Here is a 24,419-nt window from a genome sequence, read left to right on the forward strand (position 1 = left end):
TGCCAAACTCAGAGCAGCTTGTGGGGTATATTTGCAGGGGATTTGGTGGTATGGTAATGCAAAGACAGAGATCCCTTGGGCAGCAGCAGTGGCCCACGACAGGTACACAGCCAGTACAGCACCCACCATCTCAGTTCAGGCCTGAGGCATACGCAGGCATGCCTGCATGAGCTAGCCACCTGGTTTTCTTTCCTCAGGAAGTTCCTAAATGACCACCAACAGTATTGCCCAGTGTCACAAGGGCAGACGACCTCCTTAGTAGTTTGGCAGTCAGCAGATTGTTGCAGGAGTGAGGAAAGACAAGAAGCACCCTCACTTACCCTTTCTGCAGGGCTCTGAGTTCCTTTGGTGTTGATCTCTGCTAGAGTCTTGCTGCCTTCATTTTCTGCACTTTGGCTTCTTCCTGTGGGCTCTCTGACAGGTCCTGGCTCTCTTCCCTCAGTTTTCCTTTCAGAACATGTCCATTCACAAGTAACTTTGATCTCTTTGAGAAGAACTAGCATCCAACATTCCTAGACAGCCATGTTGGCCAGGGTGGTCTCGAATTCCCAACCTCAAGTAATCCACCTGCCTTGGCCTCCCAAAGTGCTGAGACTACAGGCATGAGCCACTGCACCTAGCCCCTTGATGCATTTTAATTTGGGTTTTGTACCTTCCTATATATTTATGTATGTAAATACAACATTTCTAAATTTGGTTCCTAGTATTTACACTTAATGTTATCTAATGTGAAACAGTTTGTATTCTTATAAAATTAAAATTAGTATTAAATGTATAATTAATAATTTTTATGTATATGTAAAGCATATTGAATATAATTTCACTAATGAAATTTTCCTCCTTCAGTAAAGCAGATCTCATAAGCCTATGTTGAGGGTTAATCGGTTTTATATGGTTGTTGAAAACCTTCCTTAATGAGCCTATCTTTATGCACATCATATGCAGCAATTAACTTAAAATGGGTAATAAGTTACATATAAAACCTACATCTGTAAAATTACCAGAAGAAAGCATAAGAGATTATCTTTGTGATCTTGAGTTAGGCACAACTTCTTGGAAAGCAACAAAAAGCACCAACAATAAAGGCAAAAGTTCTAAATTGGACTTCGTCAAAGTTATTAATTTATGTTCTTTAATACTGTTAAGAAAATGAAAAGGCAATCCATAGACTTGGAAATGGATATTTGATAAAGGGTTTATATCCAAAAATATATAAAGAACACTAAGAATTCAATAAGAAGAAGTCAAACAACTCAACAAGGAAATGGCAAAAATATTTGGACAGTTACTATCCCAGAGACATACAGATGAAGGGCCAGGCACGGTGGCTCACACCTGTAAATCCCAGCACTTTGGGAGGCCAAGGCGGGCGGATTACCTGAGGTTGGGAGTTCGAGTTCAGGCACATACAGATGAAAAATAAGCCATGAAAAGATACTCAACATAATTAGTAGGTAGGGAAATGCAAATTAAAACCTCACACCTTTTAGAACAGGTAAAATCTTAAAAATTATCAATGCCATGTTGATAATGCCAAATGGAGCAACTGGAACTCTGAAACATTATTACTGGGACTATAAAATGGTACAGTCACTTTAAAAATAGTTTGGCAGTTTTTTAAAAATGCAATGAGTTAATTTGGGTCCTCTGCGAAACAGATGCCAAGACAGGATTAGACATTTGAGAAGTTTATTGGGGAAAACATTTGTGAGGGTAAATGGGAAGGGAACCAGGAGAGACTGGGTAAGTTGTCAGTCTGTAATACAGGTTTAACCTCTGTGAAGAAGAGAAGAAAAGAAGGAATCTTGGGTAGGGAAAGTGTTAGATTGTAACATTTTCTAAGAAAGTTTCAACAAAATTGAGCCAAATTTGCCCATTAAATAAGTTCTGCAACTTGCAGGAATAAGCTTGCCTTCGTAGCCCTATCAAGCTCAGTCATTGACTGGGAGTAGCTCTTGAGAAGTATGACCTCAGCATAAACATGGTCATGAAAACAGGGAGTCAATTATGCTCTCCGAAATTGGAGATCTAATAGGTGCATTTTCATGGCTACAACACTCCACCTACTGTACTACACAGAGTTACTTCTCTACATGAGTTCATGTAGCAACTCTTCTGTGGTTCTTGTTGGCCTCTCTTCCTAAAGGGATACTAGAAGTATTATTTAAGTGTTCTTCCTAGTGACCTGACCATATATTTAGCCAATGGGTTCCAGATCCCATAATTGGTTCAGGTCTGGAGACTGAGAAAAGGATGATAATTTTTTAATTGAGGCATGTACCCTAAGCCTTGTGTTCTTCCATTTTTTATTTTTTTAAATTGTAGTACCTGTTAAGCAGAATTGGCTATCCATCTATTAACTATCTCTACAACTACCTGCACATCAAGTCTTTTTGGCTGCTCTCCAGCCTTCCTGGTAATTTGGTAATTGTGGCCTCCTGCCTTTTGGCAGTTAAGCACTATCATCTGGCTTTTATTACTTTGTGGTGGAGAGGCCTGCCATCCCCATGGGTATTAATAAACCTAGCTCTATGGCAACCTATTTTACTGTCAACCCTGGCTTGCAAAGGAGACTGATCACTGAATTTTTTGTGATACTTTTTTACCCCTCACCAGCACATTTCTGGTGGCCTTGGCTAATAATGTGTCTTCTGGGCCCTCCTGAAGAACATAATCCTTTTGTAGGTTGTCTTACCTCATGTAATATATTCCTACTAGCATGCCAACTTTCTACAGCCTCCTTATTTCTTTCTTTACTATCTGTCAGGCAGCTCAGATATTTTCACTTCACTCAGCTTTGGTCATTGCTTTCTTTAGAGGTTTAAGGCCACTCTAGCAGAGCATTTGCCCCATCTCCTAGGGCCCTTGCTAGGATATTACATCTGTGGTCCCTGAAGAGTAATGCTGAGTCAATGAATTCTTGCTTACCTAGTCTTACTTTCTATCTTCTTTGATCCAGCAGCCTCAAAATCTGTTCTCAGGGATACTCACATAGCTCTTCCCAGTACAACCTAGATAATTCTTGCAGATACTTTTAGATATAATCACTTTTCTCCCTTATCTCCCAGCCAAGTTATGGTGCATCTTGACCCTAGTTATTGACCTAACAGCCAAAAGAGGAGATCGAGGCAGCTTCTGAGAGCAGCCTCTGCATCCTTCACCACAGGGGAATTGCTAGCTTTTACTAGGAAAGAGTGGGCCACCTCTTCAGACTCCAAGGGCTTAGGGAAATCTTTAGAGCTAGCATCCTCAGAGGCATCCATCCACATGTTTCCATTCTATTTTTCAGGATCTCAGGTCTTTCCAACCGGGGTCCAAATTTTATCATAGTAGAACTGCTTTGGCTAAGCATTTAAACATCTCTGGAGTTCTTCAAATCTATTATATTTTCTGTTGCTTAGCTGTGTTTGATGTTCCATTACCAGAGGTAAGAACATGTTTGTAAGCTACCAAAGAGATCTCTCACTCTCACATTTATTCTTTAATTCTGTAACTTTTTGCTAACAGCCCTCAATTTCTCATTATCCTTTAGTATAATGTCAATTTAATTTAGCAGTAACCAGATAACTCTACTGCATTTGTGGGCATTATTTCCATCCATATTTCAAATGTCTTAATGATAACTAATGTCTTGCAAGGCATTCCCCACCACCAGGACATTTTTCCAGATTACTTCTGGTGAAATCTGTAGTAATTATTAACACCATTGTATACTAGGAGCTACCAGTGCTCCACATACCACTAAGGATGGCTTCTTCATTGCCCAGAAAGTGGTAAGTGAGCCCATCTTAGAACCCCATTATACCTGTTTCCTTGTGCTAGTTCAGGTCCTTAAAGGAGGAAACACCAAGATAGGATTAGACATCTCCCAGAATTGGCCCACAGTAGTATTCCTTCCATACCCTGTCATTGACTAGTTGCAACCATAGAAGCATGGCCTCAGCTTAAATGCAGTAATGGATTTTAGAGTGCAGGAGCTGGGGCAAGTGATCAGTTAGGATTCCTGAGATCTGAGAGGCTCATTGTCATGGCGCCACATAACACACCATCTGACCCAGCATTCGCACTCCTGGGTATTTACCCAAGAGGAATGAAAGCATATGTCTACCCAAAGACCTGTTTGTGAATGTTTACAGCAACCTTATTCATCATGGCCCAAACCTGGACTCTAGCAAATCCATTAACATAAATAAACAAATCATGGTACATCCATGTAATGGAAATTACTCAGCAATAAAAAGCAACAAACTGCTGATACATTCAACAATACAATCACTTCAGAAGCAATATGCTAAATCAAAGAAGCCAGACACAAAAGTCCACATACTATATAATTCTGTTTATACAACATTCTTGAAAATGAAAATTATGGTGACGAAAATCAGATCAATGTTTGCCAGTATTTGAGCAAAAGGATAGATTATAAAGGGGCACAAGGGCTCCTTTTGAAGTGATAGAAAAATTTTACCTGATCGTGGTGATGGTTAGATTCTTGTATATGGTCCTCGAAACTCCTCAAACTATACGCCTCAAAAGAGATTTTGCTATATATAAATTACGCTGCAGTAAATCTGACTTTAAAAATACAAAAAAACCTAAGCAAGCTCAATTATAAACATTTTTAAAAGGAAATAAATATAAATTCATTTATGATCCAGATAATGGCATTATCAGATATATAATTTACAATGACTCTGATTAATATAATCAAAGAAATAAAGAACTTGGGGAATTTTCTTTTTGTTTTTTTGGAGACACAGTCTCACTCTGTCACCCAGGCTGGAGTGCAGTGTTGCCATCTCGGCTCACTGCAACCTCCACCTCCCAGGTTCAAGCAATTCTTCTGCGTCAGCTTCCTGAGTAGCTGGGCCCACAGGCACGTGTCACCATCCCTGGCTAATTTTTGTATTTTTAGTAGAGACAGGGTTTCACCATGTTGGTCAGACTGGTCTTGAACTCCTGACCTCAGGTGAGCCACCTGCCTTGGCCTCCCAAAGTGCTGGGATTACAGGTGTGAGCCACCAAGCTCAGCTGGACTTGGGGAATTTTTATGGAGAACTGGAAATTATACTAGAGAAGTAGATGGAAATGTAAGTGCTAAAAACACAGTAGGTAAAAATAAAGTTTCACTGTATTGGTTTAATAGCCAATTAGATACACTGGAGATAGAATTAGTAAGCTGGAGAACAGGTTAGAAGAAAATATCTACTCTGAGACAGGGAGAAGCAAGAAAATGGCATATACAGAAAAGAACATGTGAGATATAGGAACTGGTAGTAAAGTCTATGAAAGGCTGTTGTCTCTCATCTAGTGTTGGGCCTAAAGTTGCTGCAGTCAGAAAGGCCTACAGGTAAAAAGAAAAGTTGGATGTCAAGTGGAAATACTGAGAACAAACTGGAATTTGCATCTTTCTTATACCTCCTTCGACCTTAATGACATGACGACCTGCAGGAAAAGATGGTGCCCTACGCCATTGAGCTTCAAGGACACCTGGCCTGAGACTTCTAGCAGCTAAAAAAAGAAATCTGTTGGGAGCTTAAGAAGCTGTGGAACCAAACGTTTTTCCTTATTACTGAGATGATCCTTTGATAAGTGACAACTTGTATAAATTGCACTGTTCCCTGGGGCTCTACATTGACCTTCAAAAAATAATAGCTGCTGATTTGGTGAGCCAGAAGGCCAGCAACACCATGTGTGAACTGAAACACTGCCCAGCATCCTATACTAAACATCAGAGAAAATTAGTTCTTGCTATACTTCCATCTTCCAAACCTTGTGGAGATTTCTCTTACGGCTAACTCTACCTTAGAACATATAGACAAGGGAATTCTGGAAAACATAGTTCTAATTTAGCTAAGTTAACATAGTACAAAAACACCAAAGACAAAAGGGGGAATAAATGGAGTTAAAATGTTTTTAAGGTTTGTATCATGTCCATAAAGTGATAAAAGTACTAATTTTATTAAATTCTAATAAGTCAAGTAGGCATGCCATAAACTCTAAGATAACCACTAAAGGAAGAATAAAAGAATATTTATCAAGCTAATGATTATCAATCTAATAGAGGAGGAAAAAAGGGAAGTAAAAATAGTTATTCTGTCTAAATGAAGATGAGAAAAAAGAGAGAAATGAACATAAAATGTAAAAGCCAACAAATAATAAGCTAGTTGATTTAAACCCAAATATATTACTAAATGCATTAAGTTAAACTTGAATGAATTTCCAATTAAAAAAGATTGCCAGATTGAATAAGTATTAAAATCTGCTACTATCCTGCTTTCAATATACCTAAAATACAAAACTATAGAAAGATTTAAAATAAAAGATGGAAAAGAATATAACATGCAAATAGTAGCCAACATGAAGCTGGCATAGCTATACTAATATTGGACAAAGTATACTTTAAAGCAAGAAGCAGTTCTAGAGCAAAAGATGGATATTTTGTGATGTAAAGTGTTTGATTTACCAGGGAAATAAAACAACAATTCTAAATGTATATGTACCAAGTAAAATTCGCAGAACTAGTAGGTGACAGACAAATCCACAATCATAATGAGAGACTTTAATTCACCTTTTAGTGGTAGAAAAGTACATACAAATATGCAAAATTAGTAATGATATAGAAAATTTAAGCAACAAAATAAACAACTGATACTAATTGACATAAATGATATACCCAATAAATGCGGAATACGTATTATTTTCAAGTATGCATGGAACATTTAAGAAAGTTGACCATATCATAAATGAAAAAGTAAATTTCAACCTATTTCAAAGGTTTAAATCATACAGAGTAGGATCTACAAATTTATTATCTAAATATCTATATCAGAATACCATTTGACCCAGCCATCCCATTACTGGGTATATACCCAAAGGACTATAAATCATGCTGCTATAAAGACACATGCACGCGTATGTTTATTGCGGCACTATTCACAATAGCAAAGACTTGGAACCAACCCAAATGTCCAACAATGATAGACTGGATTAAGAAAATGTGGCACATATACACCATGGAATACTATGCAGCCATAAAAAATGATGAGTTCATGTCCTTTGTAGGGACATGGATGAAATTGGAAATCATCATTCTCAGTAAACTATCGCAAGGACAAAAAACCAAACACCACATGTTCTCACTCATAGGTGGGAATTGAACAATGAGAACACATGGACACAGGAAGGGGAACATCACACTCTGGGGACTGTTGTGGGGTGGGGGAGATGGGGGAGGGATAGCATTAGCAGATATACCTAATGCTAAATGACGAGTTAATGGGTGCAGCACACCAGCATGGCACATGTATACATATGTAACTAACCTGCACATGGTGCACATGTACCCTAAAACTTAAAGTATAATAATAATAAAATTAAAAAAAAAAAAAAGAAAGCTAGGAAGCCCTTCATTGTGGGGCTTGTAGATTGTCTCCTTTCTCGTTAAAAATAAAAGATTTTCTTGAGCCTCTCATCCTAGATGTCATGGTGTCATTAACAGGAATAAGAAAGTTGGGAGAAGAAGAAATTTGATAAAGCATAAAGATATGATGTGAACATGAGAATGGCCTGATCATATGGAATAGTATAGCAGGGGCTTCATGTAGCTCTAGAGTCATCCAGTAGTTTGAGCCCTTCATACCTAGAAACTCAGGCTTTGTGTCCCTCTTCAACCACTGTATCTCCCATTTATTTTCCAGGCCTTTGATGTTTAATAGTTTAAATTACCTTATTCATTCAAAAATATTTGGCAAGTGACTTCTGTGTCTCAAACATTATTCAGGGTCTTGTAAAAAACATAGAAAAGCTATTCTATACCTACACCATTTCTAAAATATGTTTCATTAATAAAATTTACTTTTTTAGGAATGATTTAAAACACTAAAGAAATACAAACTTATAATAATTTTGAAATTTTTAACAAATGAATTTTATTTATTTCATTTTATTCAGTTGAATTAAATGAAGAAAAGCACAAAGAACTAATAGAGAAAAAGGAGATGGAAATTTCAGAGTTAAATGCAAAGCTAAGAAGTCAAGAAAAAGAAAAACAAAATGAAATAATCAAGCTACAACTAGAAGTAAGTGTTTAAGAGTCTGCTAAACTTGAGGACACATCCCTTAGTCTAAACTGTACTTTGATTGTTTTTCATCACAGTGAGATACATTTTAGGATTAGAAGCAATTCTGTGAGAGGGCTTCACACATGCTCATTCTCCACCAAATGATTGCAGTAATCACATACCATACAACTGTCATCTGCATTGCCTTTCAGCACTTGACCTGAAAGTGGACCCTTGAGTTGTTCGAAAGTTCCTGGTTTTTAGGGAGGATATTGCTTCCTCTGAGAACTTTTCTTCTCAGTATTTCCCACTTGACATCCAACTTTTCCTTTTAACTGCAGGCCTTTCTGACTGCAGCAACTTTAGGCCCAACACTAGGTGAGAGACAACAGCCTTTCATAGACTTTACTACCAGTTCCTGTGTCTCATATGCTCTTTTCTGTATATGTCATTTTCTTGTTTTTCCCTGTCTCAGGGTAGATATTTTCTTCTAACCTATTCTCCAACTTACTAATTCTATCTTTAGTGTATCTAATTGGCTATTAAACCAATACAGTGAAACTTTATTTTAGCTATTGTATTTTTAGCACTCACATTTCCCTGACAGAAAACTCAAGGATTATCTGCATTTTATGGTAAATTCTATGTAGGTTTCATAATTTCTACCATTCCAGCATGGGAAGAATGTTTCTAACGCTTCACATTTATTCTCATCCCAGCCGAAATTTGTCAAAACCCAGTAACCAACTAGAAATTTATTTTGCTTTATTTCTCATTAAAAAAACAAATTTCTTCCTAATAACTTTCTGGAAGAATATATATCCTGGGGGCAAACAAACCAAATTCCTACAATTTTTTTTTTAAGGGACTTCTAATAGGGCATCTCAAAGGCTGAGGCTCTAACTCTTTGCTCAAAAGTCTTGAGTAGGCCGGGTGTGGTGGCTCACACCTATAATCCCAGCACTTTGGCAGGCCGAGGCGAGCGGATCACCTAAGGTCAGGAGTTCGAGACCAACCAGGCCAACGTGGTGAAACCCGCCTGTACTAAAAAAAAATTACAAAAATTAACTGGGCGTGATGGCAGATGCCTGTTATCCAGCTACTCAGGAGGCTGAGGCAGGAGAATCACTTGAACCCGGGAGGCAGACTTAGCAGTGAGCCGAGATTGTGCCACTGCACTCCAGCCTGGGCAACAGAACGAAAAAAATAAATAAATAAACAAACAGTCTTGAGTAGTTCATTTAACCGGATATCACAATCTCAAATGTACTTTGACAAAATATTTGTCCTTTAAATGTTTTCTAGACTCTATCAATCTACCCTTCCATCATTCTTCCGTTGCTTCCCCCCACCCCAACTTTCATTTTACCTTGTAAGAATTCACAAGTCTTAATTAAAATCACATACTACTCATATTCCTGAAACTTTGGAATCCCCAGGGTACTTGGTGAGTTACCTTGAGTAATCACTGGGCAGAAAGAGGACTGATGTTGACTTTAGATACCCTTTGCTGCTGGTGCTGCTGCTGCTGCTGCCATCTGACCAAGTGTACCACAAACCACAGGAAAGGCTGAATGGCCAACTGAAATTAATAGGCCATGTTTCAAGATCTACTACCAACTTCTAATCCTCCTCTGTTTGGAAATTTGCATTTTGTTTGCCATTTGGGCCTTATCACTGGTCTATTATTTGACTGGTATACACAGCTCCTTATTTGTTTTCATTGTACCTAACCATTTCTCTCCTCAAACCAGAGCATAATCTCAGAGTTTATTCTTAGTCCTCAGAGAGGCTATGTTAACTAAATCTGAAGAGAAGAGTTATATAATGGAATATTGTGCAAAAACAAAAAAAAATTGGCCTGTTAAGAATGGCCTATGAGAACTTTTTTAACCTGATTCAGTTTAATTGAAACCAGCAAGGGTTCAAACTATATCGACAAGATCGTATTCAAATTCTACTGTTCAGCCTCAAAGTTCCTGCAGAAAGCTAGGTGAGGTTTTCTTCCTTGACTGTTTATTACATTTTCTTTATAATACACTCATTTTAACGTAAAAATATTTTTACCTATATTTAAGTTAAACTAGATTCTAAACCCTGTCTGCACTATAGAATCACGTGATGTTTTGAGAAAAAGATGACGCTAGCTGCACACCAGAATCTCTAAAGTAGTGCCCAGGCATTTGGTACTTTAGAAACAAAGAAAAAAAAAACCTCTCCAGGTAATTTTGCCGTGCAATCAGGGTTAATCTTGTTTTTCTGTTCTTTGCTCTTTCTGAAAAATTATTTCTTAAAGAAAGATTTTTCTATTGTCTATACTGTAATTTACACCTGAATTACAGATTACATGTCAAAGGATAACATGGATTATAATTATAGAAACAATTGTTTCTAATTGTCTAGAGTTTCAATAACTTTCTTTTCAATTTGATTCAGTTTGATGCCAAACTAGCAAGAGTTCAGACTAAATCAAAATCATATCAGGATTCTACTGTTTTGCCACAAAGTATCTACAGAAGGGTATGTGAGTTTTCCTCTCAGTATTTGTTGCTTAAGAAAACTTTCTAAGCATGTTTCTATAAAAATCATCTAATTCTTATTAACAATATAAGGTATTTTTTAAAATACCAATAGCAGAAGTGCATTTCTTTGTTATTTTGTTGTTCCTTGTACTAAATTTTATTTCTGAATTCTAATAACAAATTTTTTGTTTCGTTTAGAAACTTCAGCATTTTCAAGAAGAAAAAAACAAGGAGATTGCAATTCTTCGTAATACCATTCGCGATTTAGAGCAACGCCTTTCTGTTGGCAAAGATTCTCACCTTAAGCGTAGACGGTTTTGAGCTTAGCAGTAAATTCATTAGTTGGTATTTATTTAAAAGCAATCGAAAGTTTCACTTCTGTTTTCAATATATGCATACAGCCTACATAACAAACGAAGTCAGCTTTAAGGTTTTTATTGAATTTATTTGGACAAATCCGTACTGTATCCAATTCTGTACTGCATTCTTGCTTAATAGTATTAACCATAAAGGAGGTCAGGTTTATAGGGTTTGGTTTACCTATTAAACCATCATTGACTATGGAAATACTTACTAAGCAATATAGAGACAGACAATATTATCTTTCCCCTTATATCTTTTAAGACAGCCACTCAAGTTTTAGAAGAGTATGATACAACATTAGAGAAAGAAAGATACAAAGGCTTTATTCATGTGTGATAGTAAAAATCAGGATGAGTCTTAGATATACAAAAGATAAATGGATATTTAAAATAGTTATATATGCTTTTTTAGCAAAATATTCACGTGTTAAGTATTTCTGGATCTTAAAATACAAAATCCACTTATTTTATTAGTTAAAAGTAGAAGATTGAAAAGACAAAGTAATATTGTTTTGAGAGATAAGTAAAGAAAAAAATGGAAAGCATGTCTTTGTTGTTCTTCCTCCATTCTAAACTGCTAATTATCCAACAGAAACCCCTAGGTCATAGTTTACGTTTCTATTCTCATTAAAGCAAATAGAACACTGGAAAAAGAAAAAAAAAGACATATTAACCAAAAGCTGCAATCACCTTTCAGTTGCTCCATCATAAAAAATATGGTTTGAGTCAATATTTCTATGACATAAAATTTAAAATCTGGAAGCCAATTCAGTAGATTTCTCCATGTTTGCACAAATCTAATTTCTATTTTTGGTTCACTAATTTGGTAGTTTATAAAAATGCTGGAAATGAAATTGTGTCTAGACTAAATTGGGGAGTATGTCCTATTTTAAATATTTAGTTTGAAGGTCATTCTCACTTTTTTGCCTGATTCTTTCAGCGTCAACTGGCACTGGCTTCTGTGGGTATAAGCTGCTGACTTATTTGTCAGGCAGCTGGAGGCAAACGTCACTGACAAGATTCAGTTATGTTCTCCTCTGCCCGAAGTCCCTGTCAGCTACATAAAGATGGGAGGTTTTCTTTACACTGTCAGGTGATTGCAGACCCTGTTTTTTCAAATATCAGATGTCGACAATGGCAGCATCAGCTCCTAGGAGCCAACTCTGAATCTGTGGGCAATTTACAGAGTAATTGATTTATACATCTCTTTCGACAGAGCTTCTTTTGTAAATCTTGTAAATCTTCACTTGCTGGCATATCTCGGTTCTCTGGGTGACCCTGCCTATGCTGACCCTTGTGCTTATGGTGGTGATGAAGGCCTGGAGGAGCAGGATGAGTAGGAGCATTTGGTGCTCCTGGTTGCTGATTCTCTGAAAGCTCACTGCTGCCAAGGTGCTGATGTCCATGATTGTGATGATGCTCATGATGGTAATGAGGCGATGGAGTTTCAACTGTTTTATCCACAGTAGCCAAAGATACACGTTTACAAAAGTCTTCATCTTTGAGAGTCTGGAACAAATTTATAAATCACTTTTTAACAAGCTTATAGAGATAGGAATAATGCGTGAAAAATGATTTGTAGAGCTAACATGTGAAATTCCAACTAGTTAATTAGAATCGAGCTGGCTTTGTATTATATTAATGAGAAAGAGTCTGATGTTAGTCTCAACACCTAGACATTTTATTAAAGGCTTAAAAAGAAAGCCAAACCACTGTACTTATATTTGCAGAAGCAAATGAAGTAAACTGGCAAAAGGAACTTGGATTGCAGGAAAGTCAAAGTAATATCAAATCCTAAATTCAGTTGATCTGGGCCGAGCATGGTGGCTCATGCCTGTAATCCCACCACTTTGGGTGGCCGAGGGGGGCAGATTACTTGGGCTCAGGAGTCGGAGACCAGCCTGGGCAACATGGCGAGATCCTGTCTCTGCAAAATATACAAAAATTAGCTGGGTGTGGTGTCAGATGCCTGTAGTCCCAGCTACTTGTGAGGCTGAGGTGGGAGGATCGTTTGAGCCTGCAAGATGGAGGTTGCAGTGAGCTCAGATGGTGCCACTGCACTCCAGCCTGGGTGACAGAGTCAGACCCTATCTCAAAAAAATAAAAAATAAATAAAAAATCAGTTGAACTATATGGAAACTTCTGTACCTGTGTCAACGGTGCATCTTATCTAATACTATATGATACTGTAATCTAATATTATCTCTGATAATTCAAAAATGCTAATAAACTCTGCTCAAATGTGTTAGTTTTTCATACTTCATCCTATGCCAGGAAATGTTTTGAACTTCACCAAAGCTTTGCTAATGTCTCCCTACCATAAGGCTGTCAGCTGAAAATAGCAAATTACTGCCCGACTCCCATTGACCATAATATCCATTCCGCATGATCCTAGTTCTTTAATTTACTGGAAGTCTTTACTGTTTTGTGGTACCTACTAATCAGAGACTCAAAGCCTATAGATACAGAAATGTAACAGTAAATCTCAACCTAAGGCTAATTTGCAAATAAAATTACAAAATCAACTTAGAACCCAAAGACTCACTAAGTGATATGCTTTTGATGTTTTGAAGGTTTTAAAAGGTTATAAATTCCATTAAATTTTAGCATACAACTACTAAGTGGTACTTTATTTGGTTATTTCTGAATTACTTCTACATTAGAAGCTAATAATGTTTGCTTACAAACTTATAAAGAATTTGATACATGTTTAAAATATACTGTGTAATGTTCAAAGTGTTCAAGGTTTAAACAAACACAAATACCTATGGTAGTAGTCTAATTTCTTTCATTTATTTATTTATTTAGTGACGGAGTCTCACTCTTTCGCCAGGCTGGAGTGCAGTGGCACGACCTCGACTCACTGCAACTTCCGCCTCCTAGGTTCAAGTGATTCTCCTGCCCCAGCCTCCCAAGCAGCTGGGATTGCAGACACGTGCCACCACGCCCAGCTAATTTTTGTATTTTTAGTAGAGATGGGGTTTCACCATGTTGGCCAGGATGGTCTCGATCTATTGACCTCGTGATTCATCCACCTCGGCCTCCCAAAGTGCTGGGATTACAGGCGTGGGCCACCGCACCCTGCCAGTAGTCTAATTTCAGAAACGAATTACTATATTTTACTGATTATGTGATGCATATTTCTTTAGATTTTAATATCTCTAAAATTAGAATGTACCATACTGTTGGTGGTGGTTTCTCACTGTATCCTACTTTAATTAGCAGCATTTTTTTTTCCTAAATACTACATAAGATAATATGTCAAATAATCAGTGGTATCTAGGAGACAATGAAATAGAAAAACTCCAATCGGATTTGGCATATCAGATACTAATAGTGTCTGATCTGTAATTTGTATTTACAGATGATTCACACATTTTAAGCATATTGTGGTAACTATTAACTGCCTTTTTCAATATAACTGGGTATATTTATAACTAGCAAGCATTTGCACAAATGAGAAATGCAGAAATAATCCCAAAATATGAGGAATCATTATAATTAGTATTTATTAAATGCTTAGTATAGGTTGAGTTAGTACTTTTCTTTCATTACTCTTAGTATTTTCTTCCATTACCTCAGTCTCCTCATCTTTAAAAATAGTAAAATAACCCTCAAAAGATCATTATAAAGATTAAAATGTGAAAATTACATAACTAGAGTAAGTAACTTATACTCCTTAACAACTAAATTAATTAATTAAATTCGTTAAAAATTTGAGGCGGCTTTCTTTAGACCTGGGGAAAATCTGAAGGAAATACAACTTACAGATAAAATTGTGAATTGTTTTTAAACCTAAGTTCAAATTTTCCCAATCTGACTTCTCAATGGAACATTGTTTAGAATTATTTTCCTTTTTGTTATGAAGGAAAACAAGTCTAGTTAATACAAATTAAATTCTTTGAGTGCCTTTTTTATTTAAAAAAGATTTAAATATAGTTCTTCTCATAACAAAGAAGAAATATTTTCATGGTTGTTAGGAAATAAATACCAGTAATGAGTAGAAAACTTACTCCATTTTGAAGTAAACTCAGACTGCAGATGGGCAGGCAGTGGAAGGGCTTCAGGAAAAATCTGATAGCCTTGCATCTTCAATAAATTAAGTAGTTTCTGGCCCCAGTTCCATTCCAAGTAATGCTGTGGGTAAGCTTTGCTATTTTTATGTTCTTGTGCTAACATGTTCAGGTTACTACAATAACATTGCTTTTTTGTGTTGACTAAATTTTTTGAGCACTTATGCCCATGCAACGTCATTTGGTGGTAACTGAAATACGATACATTGATTTTTAATTTCTAAAGCTCTTCTAGATAAAGGCAGCAACATCGATCTTCAAAAGATGTTTTAAACTAGAGGTTAGGCCGGGCGCGGTGGCTCACGCCTGTAATCCCAGCACTTTGGGAGGCCGAGGCGGGCGTATCACAAGGGCTGGAGATCGAGACCATCCTGGCTAACACAGTGAAACCCCGTCTCTACTAAAAATACAAAAAATTAGCTGGGAGTAGTGGCGGACGCCTGTAGTCCTAGCTACTCGGGAGACTGAGGCAGGAGAATGGCGTGAACCCGGGAGGCGGAGCTTGCAGTGAGCCGAGATCGCGCCACTGCACTCCAGCCTCGGCGACAGAGACAGACTCCGTCTCAAAAATAATAGTAATAGTAATAAATAAATAAATAAAGTAGAGGTTAGATGACAGGATGTTTGTTTAATTGTAAAAATTATTGTTATTTATTTTTAGTACACCTGCAAAAGCATTGAGTTTTCTAAATAAGTGTTTCATGATAAACTCTTAAAAGATTTCCTCTTTTCTCCCCAGAAAAATAATTCAGAAAAATACCGTGAGAGAGCAGTTTCCACATTTCTTTTCACAGTAAGCAATCTTAATGGCTTCTTCTACATATGGGAAAGTTAGGAAGGAAAAAGGCAAACCAAGATGATATACAAGACGGCCACATCTAAGAAAAAGGACAAATACAATGTCACTATAATATTTTCTGTATCACGATCCTACTCAAATACAGTCTGGGATAGGTATTATAGGTTTAATGGTCATAACTAAGACCCTTTCACGCCTTTACTAAATTTCTTTGGATGAGAGCTACAAATGAGCTCCCAGGTACTGCACACCAGGTCAGGTCATAGCAACACTATAATTAGTCTAATACTAGTATTTTGAAATGTTATAGATATGTCACTATATAATATCAAAAATGTCATCACTGTGACTTGGTAAAATACAATTTTGTGACTGACTTATAAATTCTACCAGTGCCCAAACCGCTAACTTATAAATTAGGCTCTGAAAATCACTTGAGCTTGTCATAACTGCTAAGGCAGCACAAATTTGACACAACAAGAAATCATCACATAACAAAAACATCTCCAAGCCTTGGCCAGTAGCCCATTTATTTAAAAATGTATCTAATGCAATGAAAATTTCAGCACAATGAAAGTATTAGAACATGTGGCATTGTCAGAAATGGTGGGGTTAAAATGTTCTTCTTGCCTACATTTTACCTAGTATATATGGTTTTATGTGACTATCAAAGGGTTATACTTTTAGGTTATCCTAAAAATTAGAAGTTTAAAGGCCTAAAAGAATGAAATGTGAATTTTTAAAAATTTAGTGTAAGACCAAGTAGGGCTCACCAGACTCCGGAGAGTCAAAAAAAACAAAGCACCAACTAAGAATGTTTATAATGGCATAATGCATGAATTGAGATTCCCTCAAAATATAAATGTTTTATTTGTTCATAGAATCAAAAGTAGATTTGTGCAGATCATGCTTAAATGATTAACTCACTTTACAGTTCAGAAATTCAGGTATGTAGCCTTAAAATTATTATTTAGATTAAAATTAATTAGAAGATATGGTTATTCATTTGCAAAAGAATTAGGTTAGAATTGTACAGGATATACAAATTGGTCATTCTTTTTATTTAACCGAAATGCCAATTTATGGGGATAATCAATTTTCTGTATTTTCCTCTTGGAATGGTGAACTCTTTTACATGCCTTACTTTTTAAAAAGTCATTTCAAAAATCAAAGTCATTTCAAAAAAATAAATGTGAATAAAGAGTTTATAAACTATTTGGCAATAATCAAAAGCAAATATATTATTTTAAATCACTTACTATTAAATACAAAACAAGAAGAAATCAAGTGAAGAGATTAGTGGAAAAATCTAGAGGAGTGGTCACCAGGAAGTAACTTGAGATAATAATTACGGATATGAGATAAATATACTCAGGATTAAGAACCCATAGAATTTGATTACTGACTGAGGTGGGAAGTGTGGTGGAAGGAGTAAGTAATACATTCCTGTCACACAGTTTTGTGAAGGGGTGGATGGCAGCAAGGCTGCCATACCTGATGGTTTTTGTGATGTCCTGCAAAATAGTGGATGATGACTGGGAGTGCAGGGTCTGAAAATTATAGGATTATATGCCCTAGTGGTTGGCTGCATCTGCCTCCAATAGGTTGTATATAAAAATCACACAAAAGTGAAAGTATAAGCATGTTTTAGGAGAAGATAATCAATACAGATTTGAATAATTAAATTTAAGATGTTTGTGAATATGTCTAGGAAGTAGACTCGTCTGGAGTTCAGTCATTGTGTTTCAGCTTTGTATATATGGGATCATCCTAATATGTGTTTTAATTGTAATCAAGGGATAGATGAGATTGCTCAGGTAAAATGTGCAGAGTGTGAATAGGCAGAAAGCTGTATAGCCCTGAATAACACAAACACATACAGAATAAACCAAGGAAGAATGTGGGAGGAAGAAAAATCAGGAGGTGGAAGAGGAGGAAGTGTGGAGGAGGAGAAAGAAGAGGAAGGATATGAGGAAAACCAGCAGGGTATAGTGTCATAGAAATTTTTTAAAATGAGAGTATTTCAAAAATAAGGAGTGATTTTTACTTCTAAATGTTAAAGAGAGATTATATGAGATGAAGACTGAAATATGGCATTGTATTTAACAGTAAAGAAGATTGTTATGTGTGATGGGAAGTAAATAAATAGATACGAAACAGTTATTTTTAAATTTGGGATGTGTTTGTGTGTATGTACAAACCTATCATATATGAGGAAGTCATCTTTGCTTCCATTTAAAAGAGTCCAGACATCTGTTTGGTTTTCTTCTTGTTGATAAACAGGAATATGCTCTGAAACCTTATTCTTAAGATGTGTGTATTTTAATCGAGAAGAGATTCCTTGATGATTAACAACAATATAAGAAATATTAGAATATCCTTCTTTCTTCAGTTTTACTCGCAGGTCTTCTAATCTAAAATATTTGGGAAGAAATACATAAAATGAATAATCTCATTTGATTTGATTAGTGGTTTTTCTCCCTCTTCCTTAATTTTCTATGTGAAACTCTCCTTCTTATTTTTAACTAACCCATACTGCACCTATTCTTTATATTGCTGTAAAAGATTTTAAAACTTTCATTTTTAGAATTACTTAAAACTTGTGCTTAATTAAAACCTTATGCTTAAACAAACATTGGTTTAGTTCTCAAATTAGCACGATGAAGTGTATATATTTTGAATGTATCTTATAGGTAGAATGGATTCAACCAACCACAGATAAAAAATGGTTGGAAAAAAAAAGATGGCTGCATCTATAGTAGTGAACATGTAGACTTTTTTTCTTGTCATTCATTATTCACTAAATACAGTATAAAAATTCCTTACATAGCATTTACATTGTGTTAGGTATTATAAGTAATCTAGAGATGATTAAAGCATATGAAAGTATATGCATAGGTTATACATGCCATTTTATATAAAGGATTTGAGCTCCATGGATTTTGGTGTATGAGGGGGATCCTGGAACCAATCCTGCACAGATACCACTGGATGACTGTAAGGAGAATTCCACCCAGTGAATATCTGGTGAATAACTCAACAAATATTTTTTATATTTATTTGTTAAATAACCCAAGACTTTGATAGCAAGCCTAGTGTTCTTTCTACTCTGACAAAACAGTCTTCTCTGCCTCTTGTATTGAAGTAACTGTTCTATTTGCAGAAGTACATTTTAGAGCATTTTCATTACACAAGTAATACATATTTAGTAGGAAGTTATAAAATATAGGTGCACAAAAAGAAGAAAAAATTTCCATAACCCTAGGAAACCCACTGTAAACATTTTGGTGTGTATCATCCTAGTTTCTCTCTTCTAATATGTTCTATGCAAACACATAGTTTTTCTAAAAGTGTGACTTAATACATTATTTACACTTTTATTTTATGTCTATATGCGTGTGTGTATTTAATAGCCTTCCCCTTAAGGTATTTTAAGCCACAGAAAGACTGTCTTACTTAGATGCCTGCAGTATGCACAGGTATCAGCTGGCTTGAAGAAGAGCAACCACAGTCACTGAACCATTGGAGTTTAGCATTGGATCTTGATCTCTTATGCTCCAGGCTGGGGGTTGCTTACATAAGGAGCTTTGGTCCTGGCTCTCTGTTCCTCCCGATGGGAGGAGACAGAGAGCCAGGGCAAGCCCCAGGCTTCTCCACATTGCTGGGGTTGTCCTGTAAAAGAGAAAACCTGTCACTCTTCTTCATAGTTAACTTCACAGTCCTAACTATGAATTTCTATAAATCCTGCAGACATAATTCCACTTCCTAAAAATACCTAGCCCATGAATTCTGTCTCCAGAAAGTTATGTTCAGACTGTGGCTTATAAAAATAAGTCTGTGACTTATGTAACATTCTGCAAACACAACCTAACTTTTGTTTGAGACACACCAAGTTCTGACTGTTCTTTCTATCCTCCAAGAAGAAAGGGATAGGCCGGGTGTGGTGGCTCACGCCTGTAATCCCAGCACTTTGGGAGGCCGAGGCTGGCAGATCACGATGTCAGGAGATCGAGACCATCCTGGCTAACACGGTGAAACCCCTTCTCTACTAAAATTATACAAAAAAAAAAAAAAAATTAGCCAGGCTTGGTGGCAGACACCTGTAGTCCCAGCTACTCAGGAGGCTGAGGCAGGAGAATGGTGTGAACCCGGGCGGTGGAGCTTGCAGTGAGCTGAGATCGCGCCCCTGCACTCCAGCCTGGGCGACAGAACGAGACTCTGTCTCAAAAAAAAAAAAACAAAAGAAGAAGAAGAAAGGGATAAATAGAGCATTCTGCACAGAAATGAAAAGAGCCAGCAAAAAAAGAGAACCAAGGAAAAAAGATGATGGCAGAAAAGACAGTATACCAACATGAATGTGGCTCATGTCGGGCCCTTAGCTCTTCAAGTTCAAACATTCTATATTTATCTCTTGGGTATGGCTCCCTTTTGTTTCTCTTATTCCTTGAAGTCTGGCTGTATGTATCTAACCAAGTAGAAATATCACACATCTGCCCCCTCTACCATTTAAGACTCTTTGAAATCCACACTCAATTAGCCTATTTATTGGAAAGTTCCTATGACTAGAAAATTCCTATGACTAGACAGCACTTTCTTTGGTAAAAAGATGCTTCCTCTGAGCAACGAAATTAAAATGCTTTTAAATACCTGACTAGAAATATCCTCAAAACTAGGGCTAGCTCTCTAAACAGAAATGTTCAAAAACAGGTGAACTGTAGACAGGTGATAAAGAAAAAGGAACACATTCAGCAGAGAGGAGCAAAGAAAAATCCTCACAAGTAATTCAGGCTCATTTTGATGTAAGAATCTGTGGGGAGAGATCAGGACAAAATTTGAAAACTGGGAAATCAATATATTTTCAAGCACTGATTTGAAATTTTTAAAAGCAGATGCATTTCTTTGGAGGTGGGGAGCTAATGGTAAATTACTTAGAGTGAGCCCAGAATTAAGAGAAGAATAGAAAAGTTAAAATCAGATTGATCTGGGCTTTAATGCACTGGTAGATATAGATAGAATTTTTAACCCTGATTGTCTTTCACATTATTTAACACATCAAAACTCTTACCTATATATGATATCTTGATAAGAACTTAACTAGAGAGAGTGAGGTGAGAGAGGTAGAGAGAGAGGACAAATTAACTTACTTATTTAAGGCCACTCCAACTACTTATTTTAATATTTAAAATATTCTAATATTTTAAGAAGAAGAAGAAGATATATTTGGACTGTTTCTAGAAAATTCCTCTAGAATGGTATTTACAATGATAATACAATTATCCTTATTATAGCTAATGTTTATTTAACTTTTATACAAATATATTCAGGTGGCACTAAGCACTTTTATATATCATGTCAGTTAATCCTTAAAACAATTATGTGACCATTATCCCCTTTTGCAGTTGAGAAAAACCATGGCTAAGAGTTTAGGTAACTTGTCTATGATCACACAGAGAGAAAGTCAGTCACAAAAGAGACTGGATTAAAACTAGTTCTGTCAAATCCTAAGCTACATCTTAGCTACTGCAATATATTGAGAGTTTTTAGATAGATCACCTTGTAATAACTATAGCCGCCAACTATTTTTGTTTATGCACTAAGATGCCAAAGAAAACATAAAAATAATTCAAGCTGTTTTATTTCTTAATAGAAAGGCTAGGTTTTCTCTGTTTCCTAGACCACAAATTCAGTAGTTACAGAACCTTGGCAAAAAATCAGCACTTGGTTTTTTCACTTTGCCACAGAGCACATATTTATTTATCTATTTATTTATTTATTTATTTTTTGAGACGGAGTCTTGCTCTGTTACCCAGGCTGGAGTGCAATGGCGCAATCTCAGCTCACTGCAAACTTCGCCTCCCGGGTTCAAGCAATTCTCCTACCTCACCCTCCCAAGTAGCTGGGATTACAGGCTCTCGCCACCACGTCCTGCTAATTTTTTTATTTTTAGTAGAGACGGGGTTTCACCATGTTGGCCAGGCTGGTCTTACACTCCTCACCTCGTGATCCGCCTGCCTTGGCCTCCCAAAGTGCTGGGATTACAAGCGTGAGCCACCGCGTCCAGCCCAGAGCACATATTGCAAGTAGCTGAATGGTGAATACAAATGAAAAGACTGTTTCACTCATTTCCCTCATTTAGGTTTATGATGAAAAAATAACCCATTGGCAGAGAGTTGTAGCTTAAGAGTTCACACTTTCGGATTTCTTCTGTCATTATAATCAACAGGCTGCTCAATTTTGTTTTCTTAAAATTATTTCTTACACCGTAAACCTTTGATAATTATAGTTGTCAGACAGCTATATAAAAATAATGAAGATAAATAACAAAATTGGGTTTCCTGGAAGCTGATCCAATAAGAATTGAAAAGTAGTTGTAAATTTCACTATGTCACCACTTTTCAATTGCGAAACTTAAATTTCATGGCCACATTCAGACCTACATTTATTTAAAATTACTCATTAAAAAGCAGGATATGTACAAACTTTCTCTGTCCTCCACCTCTGAACTTTAGGCCAGCATCTGAAAGCCCCTAATTCACCTGAATGCTCTCATTCACCATTTAAAATACAAAAGTTTGCATTTAATCACAGACCACCTAATTGTTGACATGGGTTTTAGCTTCTTTAAGGGTGACCACTTCTGCACTGTGGACTGAACCTACTGTACCCCATTCCACCACTTTTTCTTCTGAAACTGCTCACAATATCCCTGGACATTTCTACAACACTAGAATGAGCATATTTCAGTGTCTGCTCTTCAAATCCAAATGGCTGGGTTTTTTCCCTGTTTGTTCTTACTCTGCCCTTCAGTGGAAAATATTTAAATTTGAACATATAATACTGCCTATGTAACATCACAACAGATTATAGAATAAAAGGTTTGGATTTCTCCAGCTTCCTCTGCTCTCAGCTGTGCAGAAGACAGGGCAGAAATCAAGAACTGACAAATGTGCGCACTGGGAACTTCACCTACCACACCTAAGTTCAGACTCTTCTTATTCTTTTTCTCTTTTATTATTTTTATTTCCTCTATCCACCAGTTTTCTGAATCTATTCTATGGAAAAAAACAATTTATCAGACTCAAAAAATATTTACCAAACTTTAAAAGAATAAAGTATCAGAAAACACGAAGTTCCTACTTACACAACCACTTCCAACGGGCCTGCTTCCTTTCTCTTTGCTTTACTCTGGCAGCTCCACAAAGCCACAGCAGCACACTCTGATATTTATAGTCCTGTTGTTTACCTCACCCCTCAGGTATAGTCCAAAGTTCAATGTTCATTCTTGCAGTGACCTTGCAAGCAGAGCAAACCCCTGAGCTGATTGTTATCAACTTAAAAGAAAGTAGCAAGTGCTGCCATGCATAATATGGGGAAAACATTTTGACAATTACTAATTTATTCCCTATCCTTTTCAGTCACCCTAGAATCTAGGATTTAATGGTACAGTCGGGGGCGGGAGGAAGGGCTAAGGGTAAACAAGGCCTCCAAGTTGCCTTCTTTCCCAAACTATAACAGGGAAAAACATTTGCTGAGCCAGCGAATTATGCTGCTGCTTTAAAAAAAAAAAAAAAAGAGAGAGAGAAGCTTTTTTTTCCTTTTGTTTTGCTTCTTGCAGTGATGAGGTGCTAGCTTAGCCCACACAGTGTGACCTTTGTTAGAAAAGTCACCTGCTGTTACAAGTTACTCTGGTCTCCTGTTGTTACAGACTTACACGTCGATTGTGTTCTATGTTTATAACTTGAATTCATATGGGATTTCACAGGACCACTGCTCTTTTCTTGTTAATTTAAGGAAATAGAAAAATAGACTTCCTATCTGAGGGAAATCAGACCTCATTTTTATTGTCACTGAAGTCGTACTTCCTGGAAGACCTATGCATCCCCAGAATTTTTTGAGGATCGAATATAAAATCTTTACAAATGTGAATACCATAAAAATAAAAATTAAAGGTAGTAGTTGGACATGGAAAGAGTGTGGAAATTTCAAGATGTACAAATGAAATAGCTAATTCCTACTATTTCAGAAGAGGGTATTTTCTTTCTGGTAACGCTTGTAAGTTGGCATGCTCACTGTAGGTGAGGTAAGGAGCAATGTCAAATGATGTCATTCCTAGATAGCAATGGTTTTCGAGTAGGCCTTGCTTTTTTCATCAATTAATTTTTTTCCAAATAATCCCCCACTGATTGCTGTATGCTGAATACTGTTGTACAAGGTGCAGGAACTACAAAGAGACTCAGATGTTATCCTTCCTTTCAAGAAACTTCCTATCAAATTAGGAGGTTACCATTTGAAATCCAAGTTCTCTTTACTTGCCCTGAGCAGTTGTTACTTGCCTTTTGGGGTCCCATATCTCTTTGAGAATCCAGTTAAAATGCACATATACATAATCATTTTTTTAAAGAGTGTCATTAAAAAAATCTTTGTACAAAGCAGATATTCCTCCCTGTAGTTCATTTCCTTGACCAATTTAAGTAGTCATATTGAGGAAAGAGAGAGACCCTCTCATATTGTTTTATACTCAGTACCTGTTTTAAGGAAAAAAAAAAACAAGGATGTGAAATCAAAGACAGGCAGCCCGGTGCCAGGCCCAAACCAGGCCT

At 36.6% G+C, this 24,419-nt stretch overlaps 2 protein-coding genes across 5 annotated transcripts in view, besides 3 other annotated features; one reads left to right on the forward strand and one right to left on the reverse strand.

The window, feature by feature from the left end:
* The window catches only part of CCDC152 (coiled-coil domain containing 152), a 45,622-nt gene extending 32,058 nt beyond the window's left edge, over positions 1-13,564 (forward strand). Inside the window, exons 7-9 of one of the 2 annotated variants that reach the window (NM_001134848.2) lie at positions 7,954-8,081; positions 10,500-10,583; positions 10,784-13,564. In NM_001134848.2, the coding sequence (NP_001128320.1) occupies positions 7,954-8,081; positions 10,500-10,583; positions 10,784-10,906 (335 nt within the window). In that variant the 3' untranslated portion in view covers positions 10,907-13,564. The remainder of the gene's footprint in view (positions 1-7,953; positions 8,082-10,499; positions 10,584-10,783) is intronic. The other variant, XM_047416584.1, reaches the window with a different exon arrangement.
* Positions 11,005-23,017, reverse strand: SELENOP (selenoprotein P). Of its 3 annotated transcripts, none has more exons than NM_001085486.3 (6): positions 22,961-23,017; positions 20,885-20,913; positions 19,276-19,491; positions 18,021-18,233; positions 15,781-15,898; positions 11,005-12,456 (listed from the first exon to the last, which is right to left on the reverse strand). In NM_001085486.3, the coding sequence occupies exons 3-6, from the start codon at positions 19,476-19,478 to the stop codon at positions 11,845-11,847; spliced, it is 1,146 nt and encodes a 381-aa protein (NP_001078955.1). In that variant the 5' UTR covers positions 19,479-19,491; positions 20,885-20,913; positions 22,961-23,017; the 3' UTR covers positions 11,005-11,844. The 3 variants fall into 3 exon arrangements, with proteins under 3 accessions (NP_001078955.1, NP_001087195.1, NP_005401.3); NM_001093726.3 differs by lacking the exon at positions 20,885-20,913 and adding an exon at positions 21,816-21,903; NM_005410.4 differs by lacking the exon at positions 20,885-20,913.
* Positions 14,857-15,357: an enhancer, noted in NCBI's record as "H3K4me1 hESC enhancer chr5:42803834-42804334 (GRCh37/hg19 assembly coordinates)". NCBI's record gives its function as "activates a minimal SCP1, AML or CMV promoter by ChIP-STARR-seq in naive H9 embryonic stem cells {active_cell/tissue: H9 hESC(naive)}" and the evidence as "EXISTENCE:reporter gene assay evidence [ECO:0000049][PMID:30033119]".
* Positions 15,358-15,858: an enhancer, noted in NCBI's record as "H3K4me1 hESC enhancer chr5:42804335-42804835 (GRCh37/hg19 assembly coordinates)". NCBI's record gives its function as "activates a minimal SCP1, AML or CMV promoter by ChIP-STARR-seq in naive H9 embryonic stem cells {active_cell/tissue: H9 hESC(naive)}" and the evidence as "EXISTENCE:reporter gene assay evidence [ECO:0000049][PMID:30033119]".
* Positions 23,176-23,741: an enhancer, noted in NCBI's record as "NANOG-H3K27ac hESC enhancer chr5:42812153-42812718 (GRCh37/hg19 assembly coordinates)". NCBI's record gives its function as "activates a minimal SCP1, AML or CMV promoter by ChIP-STARR-seq in primed H9 embryonic stem cells {active_cell/tissue: H9 hESC(primed)}" and the evidence as "EXISTENCE:reporter gene assay evidence [ECO:0000049][PMID:30033119]".

This window comes from Homo sapiens, chromosome 5 (genome assembly GCF_000001405.40).
Source record: "Homo sapiens chromosome 5, GRCh38.p14 Primary Assembly".
Classification (NCBI taxonomy): Eukaryota; Metazoa; Chordata; class Mammalia; order Primates; family Hominidae; genus Homo; species Homo sapiens.